This window comes from Homo sapiens, chromosome 13, assembly GCF_000001405.40.
Source record: "Homo sapiens chromosome 13, GRCh38.p14 Primary Assembly".
Taxonomy (NCBI): Eukaryota; Metazoa; Chordata; class Mammalia; order Primates; family Hominidae; genus Homo; species Homo sapiens.
Genome location: NC_000013.11, coordinates 47,941,594 through 47,955,808, shown reverse-complemented (window position 1 = coordinate 47,955,808; position 14,215 = coordinate 47,941,594). Strand labels below are relative to the sequence as shown.

At 36.8% G+C, this 14,215-nt stretch overlaps 1 protein-coding gene across 1 annotated transcript in view; it reads left to right on the top strand.

The window, feature by feature from the left end:
- The window catches only part of SUCLA2 (succinate-CoA ligase ADP-forming subunit beta), a 58,618-nt gene extending 45,465 nt beyond the window's left edge, over window positions 1-13,153 (top strand). The window contains exons 7-11 of the mRNA NM_003850.3: window positions 1,252-1,413; window positions 1,527-1,669; window positions 6,206-6,326; window positions 6,781-6,869; window positions 12,364-13,153. Coding sequence (NP_003841.1) covers window positions 1,252-1,413; window positions 1,527-1,669; window positions 6,206-6,326; window positions 6,781-6,869; window positions 12,364-12,438 — 590 coding nt within the window. The 3' untranslated portion in view covers window positions 12,439-13,153. The remainder of the gene's footprint in view (window positions 1-1,251; window positions 1,414-1,526; window positions 1,670-6,205; window positions 6,327-6,780; window positions 6,870-12,363) is intronic.

Genomic DNA, 14,215 nt, shown 5'->3' with positions numbered 1-14,215 from the left:
GGGGTAGGGTACTGAAAGGTGAAGTCAGAGAGGTGACCTTTGTTAAGAGCCATTTTGGTAGAGTGCTGGGAGTAAAAGCCTGATTAGAGTGGGTATAAGAGAGAATGGCAGGAAAAAAATTTGGTACAAGGAGTTTAAGCACAGGGGTTGGCATTTAATAAGTATTTTAGGCTTTATGGATCACATATAGTTTTTGATGCTGCTGTTTTGCTTCTTCTTCTTCTCTTTCTTTTCCCCTTTTGACTTCATAATCCTTTAAAAGTGTAAAATCCATTCTTAGCTTACAGGCCATTTGAAAACAGGCACAAGTTGGGCTCAGTTGCTCACACTTTTAATCTCAGCATTTTGAGAGGCTGAGGCGGGTGGATTACTTGAGGTCAGCAATTCGAGACCAGCCTGGCCAACATGGCAAAACCCTATCTCTACTAAAACTACAAAAATTAGCTGGGTGTTGTGGTGCATGCCTGTATTCCCAGCTACTCGGAAGGCTGAGGCATGAGAATTGCTTGAGCCTGGGAGGTGGAGGTTGAAGTGAGCTGAGAGCATGCCACTGCACTCTAGTCTGGGTGTGAGAACGAGACCCTGTCTCAAAAAAATAAAAAATAAAAACAAGCACAGGCCGAATCTGGCCATAGTTTGCTCACCCCTCTATTTCTTTTTTTTCCCCAGAAACCCTTGTTCTGAGACCCCTCTTTTAATTAGACAAATCTTCAAGGAGTTGCTATGTAGTAAAGAGTAAGGGGGAGATAGGAGTTAAAAGATTTTTTTTTCTTTTTATTAAGGTGAGGAAATAAAACTGTTTTAGCAAGTCGGCAAGATTTAGCCAATAGAAAGGTAAGGGGTGGGGGGAGGCAGATTTATAATGTAGGGGAGACAGAATTGCTGGAACATTATTTTTGAGTAGAGGAGAGGGGATGGGATATGGGGCCCAAGTGATGGGGTTAGCTACGAACAAGGATAGTTAATTTTTGACAATTTTTAAATAATTTAAAATATTTTTGAGGTTTTCTTTTTCTTTATGTAGTGCATAGCATGGATGTAGACCCAATAACTTTGATGGGGCAGTTTTAATTCCCAAATATTCTTTTTTAAAGAACAGTTTGAATTCATAGTGAACATAAATTGAAATATTTTCATTAAGTAACAAAATTAAAATGTGTCTTTTCCCTAAATGAAAGACCATTTGACTATTTGATACTTTATTGTATCTGTCTTGAAATTAAGGTCATTTTTCTCTTTTTCCCTTCAAAGTATTGTGTATGGATGCAAAGATCAATTTTGACTCTAATTCAGCCTATCGCCAAAAGAAAATCTTTGATCTACAGGACTGGACCCAGGAAGATGAAAGGGACAAAGATGCTGCTAAGGCAAATCTCAACTACATTGGCCTCGATGGAAATATAGGCTGCCTAGGTACCATGTGTTTTTATGTTAGAATTGGATTCACTAAGTTTAATTTGGATTTACTAAGTTTAATTTATTTTCTCTGTGTTTGTTGCTTATACAAATCATTTTCCCCTATATAGTAAATGGTGCTGGTTTGGCTATGGCCACAATGGATATAATAAAACTTCATGGAGGGACTCCAGCCAACTTCCTTGATGTTGGTGGTGGTGCTACAGTCCATCAAGTAACAGAAGCATTTAAGCTTATCACTTCAGATAAAAAGGTAAGGGCAGGGCTTGATATATTTTTATATCATGTAAATATATAAAATAAATACTTATAAAAATGTATATTTTTATGTTTTAGAATTTAGAATTCATATATATGTCTTTTAATATATATTTTGAGTCTTTTTTTGCTATCATATCTTGAAGATTTTTGCAATTCACCAAGAGACTCTTCTGAAACACTCATTTTAATGTTTGTGTAATCTGTCATTATAGATGTGCCATAATTTAGAACTATGTGTTTATTAATGATTATCAAAGTATAAGGGATGTGAAGTATCATAATTCAAAAGACATATATATTATTAATCACTAGATATTTGTTAAGGAGTGTATCTATTGTGTGGCCAGTGTAGATTTTGTAAGGCTTACAAAAAAGATAATAATCTCTGTGGAACTATTCTTACTGGATTTAAACCGAGAATTCTTCACTGATAGGGATGATATCTTACTAATTGTTGCTTCTCGTAGTGTCTGGTATAATGCCCAGTACATATGTAGGTCATTAATCAATATTTATTATTGATGATGCTGCTGGCAATGTATATTTTTATTTGTGGTGTTAGACCGTAGAATTGTTTAAAATATAAATTTATTTCAATGCCTTTTCCTTTGAGCCTACAGCCTTATTTTCCATATTTATTAATTTTGCAAGGAGGATTAAACTAAATGAGATGTAAAATGTGCATTATTTCCCTTGTTTAGTAATTACTAAAACAAGTAAACATTTTATTAGAACTATATTTCTATAGCTTCTTTTGACAAACTCGAGAAGCAGAGTATTAAAGACAATCTAATTATCTAACTGTTGAGTACTTACTACTAGAATTGAGTTGAGTACTTACAACTAGAATTAGAATTCTAGTTGTTTATTTTTCTAAGCATGGCTTTTAGGGCCCAGGTGCAAGAATGGAGAAAAGTATATGAAGAGTTACAGTGTAGGGGACTGACATGATGGGCGTCAGAGTTGGAAACAGAATGGTAACCCAGGGTGTCAATGTGGATAGCATTGAAGTGGCCATATATTTTGTGATGGTCACTGTGCTTGGACTTGGAAATACATGGGCCCTTCTCTTAAGTTACTTATAGTTTTACTGGGGTGATTGACACAAAGTAGTGCTGTGGAAGAACAGAGGACAGAGGCAAAAACTGGGAGAATCAGGGTGGCCTTCACTGAATGGATGATACCTTAAGCTGTCTTGAAAATTAAATGAGGGCAAGAGGAAGAAAATGTACAAAGACATAGAATCCAGAGAGGGCCATTATGTTCATGGGGTGGTAAGATGCTTATGTGTAAGAATATGGCATTATTGGGATAAATGATAAGAGATAATGTTGGCAAATTGTGACCACATTTGTGAAGATCCCTATTATCTATAGTTAAGGAGTTTGGATTTTAACTCCCTACCCCAGCACATACACAAGAGAATTCATAATGAATTCTCTTGTGGAAGAGATCCCTGACAAAGGCAATATCAGTAAGAATAAATTAGAGGCATTTCTGAGATAGGGTCATTAAATTCATTTTTTTTCTTCTTTTCTGGGAGCCTCATAGAAGGGTTGGTTAAGTTAACATTAGGACTTTGGGCTGGGGAGAATCATTGGGTGGTGATGACTTTCATGCTGTCAGAGGCAAAGTCGAGGAATAGGTATTTCAGAATGAATGTCAAGTTTGGATTGTGGTGACTATATCTAGTAGACAGTTCATTGAAAAGATATTGTACTTCCTATATTGGAGAAAAGTTGAAGTCTTAGGAGTTGGTGAGGTGATCTGTGCAAGTGAGATGAGGAACCAAGAATGGAACCTGGCCCCTCCATTTTTGTTGAAGGGTTGAATAGAGAAGGAAAACCCAAATGAAAAACAGAGAACAAATGACAGAGATAAGAACAGATCGGGAGAGAGTGGTGACATCGAAGGACCAAGGTGAAGAGTTTTGAGAAGTAAGGCATTGGGAAACAATGTCAAATGTTGTAGGACTATTCAGACAGAGTAAGAACTGAAAGAGGTGAGTGGGAACCTTCGTAAGAATAGTAGAAGAGATGGGGGCATAGGCCAGATTGTAATGGATTGATTTGATGAGGAATTGAGGGAATAGAGATATCCAGGAGAGATTACTCTTCCAGGACTTTTTTTTTTTTTTTTTTTACAAAGGCATGGAAGGGATGCAGTGCTATCAGTCAAAGGCAGTAGGACTGAGGAGAGTTTTGTGGTGTATGTTTTCTTGCTTGTTTAGAAGATCAAGAAGATGAGCTCTTTCTAGTTGGAGGAAGAGAAGAGATTTGAAAATAAAGAGAGTGAATGTAGCTAGAGGGGTGAAGACCTGGAGGAAATACTATGTAGTAAATAGATGGAGATAATTATCTGGCCAGGTCAGCTTTGGAAAGGTGGTTACTCCTTTCTTGAGGTGCCACTAAAGAAAGGAAGGTTGTATGCTAAAAGTTAGAGAGCTTGCATGGGATAGAAGGCTTATGAAGAGAGTTAAAGGTATGAGGCTGACTGCTAAGTTGAGGATTGCTGATGAATTATTATTTTATTGCTCTTCAGGTTATGCTAGTGTTTCCAGTTTTGTTTTCAGTTTTTACTTTTTTACTTTTCCCTGAATAAGCTATGGCTGGAATCATCCAAAGATGCATTGTTTGAAGTAGGATGGCAGAGGAATAGGTATGACAGAATTGAGCATGCAGGTGGCAGTGACACTGAATTGCTTAGCCATATGTCCCAGGCTCTATAGTGAAGAAAGTCAGTTCCATTGAGAGCTAATAGAGTAGAAGATTAGAGAGGGATTGAGGGACTAGAGGCTTTTTCTTGGGAGCGGGGGCGGGGTGGCGGACTAGAGGCTTTTAAGAAGAAAAGATTGTGTTTGATAGAGCTAGAGGAGAAAGGCATTAAAGTGAAAGGGGAAGGAGGTTGAGCGGAGAATGAGATTTATACATTTAATATTCTAGAGACACTCATTCTGGCCTAGTCCAGGATTTATCCATGGTAGTAATTCGTTTAAATTGACTACAGGTGAAAGTGGCTTGGTAGAGTAAAGATCCAAGAACTTTAAGGCTGGAGTGTTAGATGGTGCCTGGTGGTGAATATGGAAACTCTCCAGAATGAGGTGAGAGGGAGAGAGATGAGAGATGCCAAAGGCTGCTATGAGTTCTAGTCTGTTATGAATTCCAGAGCTTCATTTCTTAAAGGTCTGGGAATAATAGTGGTAAGGTAAAGAATGTATAGTATAGCTCAGTGTGTCTCACCCCTTTTCATGTCATGGCATTCACAGAAGGTATTTCAGTGGGGCCTTGGAGGTAGATGGAGAAGATTGCTTGTAGTCAGAGTCCACTGGCCCTGAGGCTCCTGCTGCCCCAGAACATTACTAGCTGCCCCAAGAATTGAGGGGAATGATATTTTGGTGTATCTACAATGCATTTTAATCTCATTGTTTGAGAAGCCCTGGTATAGCTGAGTGAACTAAACCTCTTTTTTTTAAAAAAGAGAGATTATTTGGAAAGGATAGGAGAACACTGATTCAGAACTATCATTGTGATGTTGAAAGAATGCTGACCCAAACAGGTCCTGAGATTTGGATGTGAAATGTACCCAAGAGAGGGCCATACAGGAGAAGCTGGGTGATTCTTAGGGCCTGGTTTGTGTAAAACGTTGATTACATTGATGGGGATTGTTTTGCAGTGAGCAGGTCTATGCATATGTACCCCCAGAGGCCAGGGGATCTGAGAGGCCAGAGAAAGAGGCTGGCAAATCCAGTTCTCAGAAAGAAACTAAATTTATATAGGGACTTAGAAACAGAAGCTATGGCTTGGGTGGCTGCGAGATGGTGGATCCCCACACTAGCCCTCCAGAAATTATCCTTTATGTAGTGAGCTTTTTTTCTTGGTAACACTTGCACAGCTGGTCACATCTCAGACCCTCTTGTCAAACTTGTGACCATTGAGGAAGTTAGGTAAACATCTTTATGAGTTGTCATTTATGCTACAGGCATTGTTTCTTTATAAGGGTTATCTATGTTACAGGCAGTATTTCTTGACCTTGCTGCAGAAGGCCTTGCTCTGCAGGAGTCAAACATTAGTCATTATGACAGTTTTGCTTCAGGATGGTGTTACTCTTGCCACACAACACGCCCTTTTCCTACAGGGATAAATGAGGAAATGATAGGTGACAAACACTAAATTGGAGATCTTGCACATGAGACTATCTTACAGTATGATCTGGGGGTAGTCACGTTGGTGAATGGCCAAATTTAACAAGAGAAAGTAAATGGAATTAGATGGTCTTGTTCATATGGGATATAGTAGAGAAGGAAATGTGAACTAGGTGTTGAAATTACCCAAGGAGATGGAAATAAGTTCTGGTGGGCAGTGGACTACATAGACTTCAATAAAGAGAGCTAGAAGAGGGTATTGTGGTTTGGTCTGAAAATCTTTCTATCAAGTTAATGTTTATCATGAAGCACATATACTAGTATTTTTTGGGGAAAAGAACTTAAATTTCTTTTAAATTTTAATCTATCAGAACACTTTATTCATAGGTACTGGCTATTCTGGTCAACATTTTTGGAGGAATCATGCGCTGTGATGTTATTGCACAGGGTATAGTCATGGCAGTAAAAGACTTGGAAATTAAAATACCTGTTGTGGTACGGTTACAAGGTGAGTATAAAAGGTATCTTGCAGTTGTTCCTAATTCTTTAAAAGTTCACATTTCCATGGAGTTCAGTTTGTTAAAACATAGTTTTTAAATAGCTGTGTCTTTGAAAGCATTATACAATATGAAATTAAAACTATAGTTTTTAAAACATTTTAACATTGGGGCAAAATGTTTATACTTTTGCTTGGTATAATTTGATACACTTTTTATTTGTTGTGATTTGTCTTGAATTCTGACTTGCCTGAATTACTAAGCAAGTCAGAATTATTGTAAGGCAAAATATTTTATAAGATAACCTGGGCTTTTACAGTGTTTTCTTTGGTTTAGAAGTGTTTATACTAAATAATGGAAGTCTCCTCTGTTGAGGTTTTATTCTTATACCATGTTTTGGCAAACATTTTAAAATGCTTTTGTGTGTGTATTTAAAACATTTATATTTGCATAAATCATTTACAGGTACACGAGTCGATGATGCTAAGGCACTGATAGCGGACAGTGGACTTAAAATACTTGCTTGTGATGACTTGGATGAAGCTGCTAGAATGGTAAATTGGCCATGTTCATCTAAGGAGGATTTATAAACACAGATTCTAAAATGAACCTAATTATTAATACAGCTAATAATTTGTGTTTCAGCTAAATATTATGAGTGTAATGAATGGTTAAAGAAAACGATTATTCATGACTCTTGCTGAAAGATGTTAAGGCAGACTTTATTCAGAGGGACTGTTGCAATAAGCATAGAGACTACTGCAGTGGAGTTTTGCAGTAGGGGAGAAAGATTGGGCCCAACTCCAAATACAGCAAGGAAAAGTGGGAATTTATAACCAAGGAAGAGGGTCGGGGCAGTGGATGAAAAATTACTAAAAGGATACATTATGGGTAAGGGAGGATCCTGGCTAAACTGACTTAAGCAAGATTCTTGGTAAAATTGGACTATGCAGGGACAAATACAGAAGTCCAAAAGTTAGGGCCAAGTTGAGAAGAGAGTTCAGAGTAGCCTTTGGGAGGCTGAGGCAGGAGGATTGCTTGAGTCCAGGAGTTTGAGACTAGCCTGGGCAACATAGGGAGACCCTATCTTCACACATGTGCGCACACACACATGCACGCACACACACATGCACGCATATGTATGTATGTGTGTGTATCTATCTATATATTCGATAAATATATATTGAAAAAACAAAAGAGAGTTTGGTCAAGGAGAGAATCTTTGTCAGAACGTCTTATATCTGTGATCATCTTAAACAACGGTCAGCTCCTGCCCAATCTTGTTTGTTGTTTTGTCTGTATTCTTACTTCCTCCCACAACTGTGATTATTTTCAAGCAAATCCCAGACATTATATCATTTCATACATTTCATCATGCATCTGTAAAAGATAAAGGTATTGATAATGGTATAAAAAAATTACTGTTACTTGTTTTAGGTGGGGTAATGGTATTATGGTTATGTTTTATAAAAATACAGTCTGTTGAAATTTCTGAGTCTCTTATATCTTTTGTTTAAGTTCTTTGTAAGGGTCAGAATAAGTCTCTGCATTGTAGTTGGTTAATATGTCAGTAAGTTTCTTAATCTGTTGGTTTCCCCTTTTAAAAAGAAAAGTATTTTCTGTGGTTTATTTGTTGAAAAATCCAGGTTGATGGTCTTGTTAAGTTTCTCATAGTCTGGATTTTAATGGTTGCATCTTTAGGCTGTCATTCATTTACTGTGTTCTCTGCCCTCTCTGTGTTCTCTGCCTTGTGTATTTCCTGTAAACTGGGAGTTCAGTCTGTAGGCTTGACCATATTCATATTTGATTTTGGGGAGCAGGGAACAAGAATATTTCATAGTAGGTGTTTAATTTCATCAAAACGTATACAATGTTAATCTTTTTGTGGTATTACTAGCCATTGACATCATAGCTTAGATCCAGTATTTTGTTTGTGTTGCAAAGCGTTGCTATTGTAATTCTGTCATTCTTCACTTATTATATGTAATGCTTCTAAAAAGTAATACTTCCACGTGTCAACCATTTGTTACCATGGAGTACATTTTGCATAGGAAAAGTAGGATAATTACCTGATTATTTGCCTTTATTGACCAATTTTCAAAATAATGTTTGTTCTATTATGTCCAATAAAGGTGACCTAGGGTTTTTTTTGTTTTTTGTTTTTTTTGTATTTTGTTTACTTTTTGTTTTCAGGTGTGTGTGTGTGTGTGTGTGTGTGTATTGTGCGTGTGTGCATACACATGCATACACATGTGTGTTCCACTGGCATACTGTTTTGAACTTATGACTTAAAACATTGATGTAGTTCAGTTCATGTAAGTTGTGATTGAAATTGTCCAACCTTTGGTCTTTGGGAACCTCTTCAGGTTAACTGTTGCATCCTTCTGAGAAGCCCTCTATCTGGTATGATAAAATGTTTCAGGCTCATCTTTACGTTTCTTGAGTCAGAACTTGAATGGGCCAAATGGTATTTAGAGAGCACAATTTGGCCTTATGAGTATTCATAGATACTGGGTTGATTATTGTTTCTGAGCTTTTTAAGTGGCAAGTCTGAGAAAACATGTATTTTTTAAAGAGGTAATACTTGAGTTCATACTGATATTTTCAATGCAAGTCCAGGAGTATAGATTTTTTTTTCTTATCTGACATCTGTTTGTACCTTCGTTCATGCCATACTATCATAATTATTCATTTGCTTTGTCCCTTAGTACAGATATGACAGTTTTATAATAAGAATACCAACAGTCTGATTACTGAAAGCAATTATATCTGCATTTCTTTCTGTCCTTTAGGGTATGTCCCACAACTTAGTGGATTTTAAAATTCATGTGAAATAATTCTCTGTGTGTTTTGTCTCAGCTTTGTATAGTTTCATTGTTTTTAAAGGGATTGCTTTTTTTAAAAAAAAAAAAACACAACCTTTTGTTTTTTATTTTGTATTTACATGATTCCAAAGTGGAAAGTATAGAACAAGGTATTATCAGGGAATCTAGCTTTTATATATTTCCCTCTTTACTTCTTCCCCAACAGGCAACCTTTTTACCTTTTTTTTTTGTTTGTTTTTTAAGAAAGTTTTGGTTTATCTTTCCACTTCTTAAAAACATAAGCTAATTGTATGTATATAACTATATGTATGTGTGCAGTAGTCCCCCCTTATCTGCAGGGAATGTGTTGCAAGACCCCTAGTGGGTGCCTGAATCACAGATAGTTCCAAACCTGTATATACTGTGCTTCTTCCTGTACATATATTCCTTTGATAAAGTTTATGTATTAGACATAGTAACAGATTAACAACAACTAATAATAAAGTAGAACAATTATAACAATATACCGTGATAAATGTGAATGTGGTCTCTCAAAATATCTTATTGTTCTATACTCACCTTTGTGGTGATAATGAGATGATAAAATGCTTACTTGGTGAGATGAACTGAGGTGAATGATGAAGGCATTGTGACATAGTGTTAGGCTACTACTGACCTAATGATGTAACAGAAGGAGAATCATCTGCTTTGGTTCATCCTGGATCATTGAGCCATGATGTTGATTGTTGGATGTCAAGAGTAGATAATGTTGATGACTAATGGAAGAGTAGTTTATACAGCGTGGATACGCTGGGCAAAGAGATGGTTCACATTCCACTTGGAGCAGGATGGTGCAAGATTTCATCACACTTCTCAGAACAACACACAGTTTAAAACTTAATGACTTTTTTATTTCTGGAATTTCTCATTTAAAATTTTTGGACCACAGTTGACTGCAGGTAACTGAAACTGTAGAAAGTGAAATTGGATAAGGGGGGGACTTTGTGTGTGTGTGTGTGTGTGTGTGTGTGTGTGTGTGTGTGTGTCTCCCTTTTCCCACTTTAGATTAATGGTAATCTATACTTTGTTTCTTTTACTTAACAATAATGTGTATCAGAGAACACTTCATAGTAGATACAGAGAGATGAGAATTTTTTGTCTTCCCTTCCATTATGTTTATAGACATTTCATTGAACACTCGAACACTCTTTGGGCTCTATAGCTTAATCAATAGTAGATTCTTGATTTTTTTTTTTTTTTTTTTTTTGAGACTGAGTCTTGCTCTGTCACCTAGGCTGGAGTACAGTGGCGTGATCTCAGCTCACTGTAACCTTTGCCTCCTGGGTTTAAGCAATTCTTGTGTCTCAGCCTTCTGAGTAGCTGAGACTACAGGTGTGTGCCACCACGCCCAGCTAATTTTTTTTTTTTTTTTTTTTTTTTAAGACAGAGTTTTGGTCTTGTTGCCCAGGCTGGAGTGCAGTGGTGTGATCTCGGCTCACTGCAACCTCCATCTCCCAGGTTCAAGCAATCCTCCTGCCTCAGCCTCCCAAGCAGCTGGGATTACAGGCATGTACCACCATGCCTGGCTAATTATGTATTTTTAGTAGAGATGCGGTTTCACCATGTTGGTCAGGCTGGTCTTGAACCCCTGACTTTGTGATCCACCTGCCTCGGCCTCCCAAAGTGCTGGGATTCAGGTGTGAGCCACTGCGCCCAGCCTTGTATTTTTAGTAGAGATAGGGTTTTGCCATGTTGACCAGGCTGGTCTCGAACTCCAGACCTCATATGATCCTCCCACCTCGGCCTTCCAAAGTGCTGGGATTACAAGCATGAGCCCCCAGGCTTGGCCAGACTCTTGAATTTACCGAGTTAATGTGATGTCATTTCACAAAAATAATAAAAGTCTTATGTCCTTCTTTGGGAAAGTACTTACTAGTAAACAAAATTTAACTCTAGCTTGGAGACAGAAGAATTTAAACTTAAACCTGAATTAAAAATAAAGAATTTGAGCAAGGGAATAGTAGGAGAAAGTATTTCAGAAAGCCTATTTTGACTTTGAGATGTGGGATATATTGAAGGGAAAAGGGGAGAGATAGTAGGAGTCCATCTAGTGCAATACTTAGATATGAGAAAAGGTGAAGGTAATAAATAGGTTATAACTTGTCTCTGAAAGTGCACTTTTTTGGAATGAAAACTTAAATTAAGAAAAGCTTGGAGGACATGAAAAGAAGGAGAAGAACCAGTAGGACCTTGATCAAATAGATCATGAGAGGTAAAAGTGAACAGTTGATTTAAATTATGACTACAGTGTTTTTATTGACTGGGAGATTATAGAAGTCATAACAATAATAATATTGAATGAGATGATGATGATATTAGCAGTTACTACTGTTTATTGAGTGTTTACTGTGCATGCAATGCTAAGCTGTTTTCTTCAAGGATTATCTCATTTAATATGAATTTGGTGATAAAATTTCCATTTTTATAGATGAAGAAACAGGCTAGATAAGTTAACTTATTCAAGGTTGTATGTCATAAGCATCAGAGGGGGGATTTGCAGCCAAAGATATCTAACTTCAAAGCCTTTTCTTAACTAATTTACTGAGGAAGAGAGAAGCTGAGTTTGTTTTTTTGGTCTTAGACATGTCTAAATTTGTATGATGTTTTGTATGGTAACTGGTGGATATTTTTAGACAGATTGTAGAGAGAATTGGAACTCAGGTTAGCAATTGTTAACTTACTGACAAAAAGTAAAATACTAACTAGTAGACCCAAATTTCTATCCCAACATTTTAAGTTAAGATTGTATACTTATTTCAAAACAAATTTTTACTTAGATGTGCTTTGAGTTGTGGAGTATCCAACAAAGACACTCACTGTTTCTGTCTTTAAGATAAAATTTAGAATAATATATATATATATACACACACACACACACACACACATACATACACACACATTTTATACACACATATATAATCTTATGTAATACATATGTGTAATCCTAGCAGGTGGTATAACATCTTAATCAGAAAGTATTTAATTGAAGTTTGGACTATGAGGAGTGTCAGACTTGATTATCCTTTGAGAATGTCATTTGCTTATAAGAACGTAATGTGATTTATAGCAATGTCAGAATAGTCCAGATGTTTTAAATGGAAAAAATTGAGTGTACATTAATTTTGCACTGACCTGTAGTTCTGAATTTACCTTTTTGTGAAAATTCTTCGTTCTTTTCTTTTAGGTTGTAAAGCTCTCTGAAATAGTGACCTTAGCGAAGCAAGCACATGTGGATGTGAAATTTCAGTTGCCAATATGATCTGAAAACCCAGTGGATGGCTGAAGGTGTTAAATGTGCTATAATCATTAAGAATACTGTGTTCTGTGTTATTGTTCTTTTTCTTTTTAGTGTGTGGAGATTGTAATTGCCATCTAGGCACACAAACATTTAAAAGGATTTGGACTGCATTTAATTGTACCATTCAGAATGGACTGTTTGTACGAAGCATGTATAATGCAGTTATCTTCTTTCTTTTGTCGCAGCCAGTCTTTTTTGCTTCTCCTACAAAACGTAACTTGCAATTTGCCAGTTTATTATTGTTGGATACAAAGTTCTTCATTGATAAGAGTCCTATAAATAAGATAAATACGAAGATAAAGCTTTATTCTTTAGTGTTAAAATACAGTATATCTAATAACTAGCCTCATTAGTAGAGCAGTATATTAAAACAATGTTTTATGTAAAAAGTGTTTATCTTCAGCACCAAATACATGATAAATGTATCAATCACTATTTATAAACAGAGCTTTCAAACACTCCTCAGAATATTCTTCTAAGTATTTTGATGAAGTAACTTTGTAATTATTTGAACATTGTTTTAATCATTAGGAAACACTGATTAACTGCAAGTCTTCATGATTCTGTCATATTAAGAAACACCTGTAGGTTTGCTTCAAATAAAGGCATATATACCAAGGACTTACAGACAAAATTAAGAATGTCAATTTAAGTTAATAAAAATCTCCCAATATGATTTGGGTTCATGGCTTTTGTTTGCTTGTTTTGAGGTAAACACAGTAGAAGTTGATTTGTTCGTTATTGCAGTATAGAGGTCTAAGCACCAATTCTTAGATCATATACTTGCCATGACAGTGATTTGTTTTTTTTTTTGAGTCAGGGTCTCACTCTGTCACCCAAGCTGGAGTGCAGTGGTATGATCATGCTCACTGCAACCTCTGCCTCCTGGGCTCAAGCAGTCCTCCCACCTGAGCCTCCTAAGTAGCAGGGACTACAGGCACACACCACAAAAAAACATATGTGTTTTTTTTTGTTTTTGATTTTTGTTTTTTTTTTGGTAGGGACAGGGTATCACTATGTTGCTTAGGCTGGTCTCTTACTCCTGAGCTCAAGCAATCCTCCTGGCTTTGCCTCCCAAAATGTTGAGATTACATGTATGAACTACTGCACCCAGCCAACCATACATATTATACAGCTACTTATAGATAGATAGTTCACTGGAAGTCTGCTATTTATGTGTATGCCATCTAGTATATCCTCTAAAGGAAACAGAGGGGAGAATTGAATCCAAGATGCCTAACTTCAAAGCCTTTTCTTAACTATTTTACTGAGGAAGAGAGAAGCTGAGTTTATTTTTTGGTCTTGGACATGTCTAAATTTGTATGATGTTTTTGTTTTTGTTTTTGTTTTGAGATGGAGTCTCGCTCTGTTGCCCAGGCTGGAGTGCTGTTGCACGATCTCAGCTCACTGCAAGCTCCGCCTCTGGGGTTCACACCATTCTCCTGCCTCAGCCTCCCGAGTAGCTGGGACTACAGGCGCCTGCCACCACACCCAGCTCATTTTTTGTATTTTTAGTAGAGGCAGGGTTTCACCGAGTTAGCCAGGATGGTCTTGATCTCCTGATCTCGTGATCTGCCCGCCTCGGACTCCCAAAGTCTGTATGATGTTTTATATGGTAACAGGTGGATATTTTTAGACAGATTGTAGTCACATGGTTCTTTTTGTCCATATATGTAAATATATGTGTGTGTGTATATATACATATTGACCTTTTGCTCACTGCATAAAACTTGGTAGT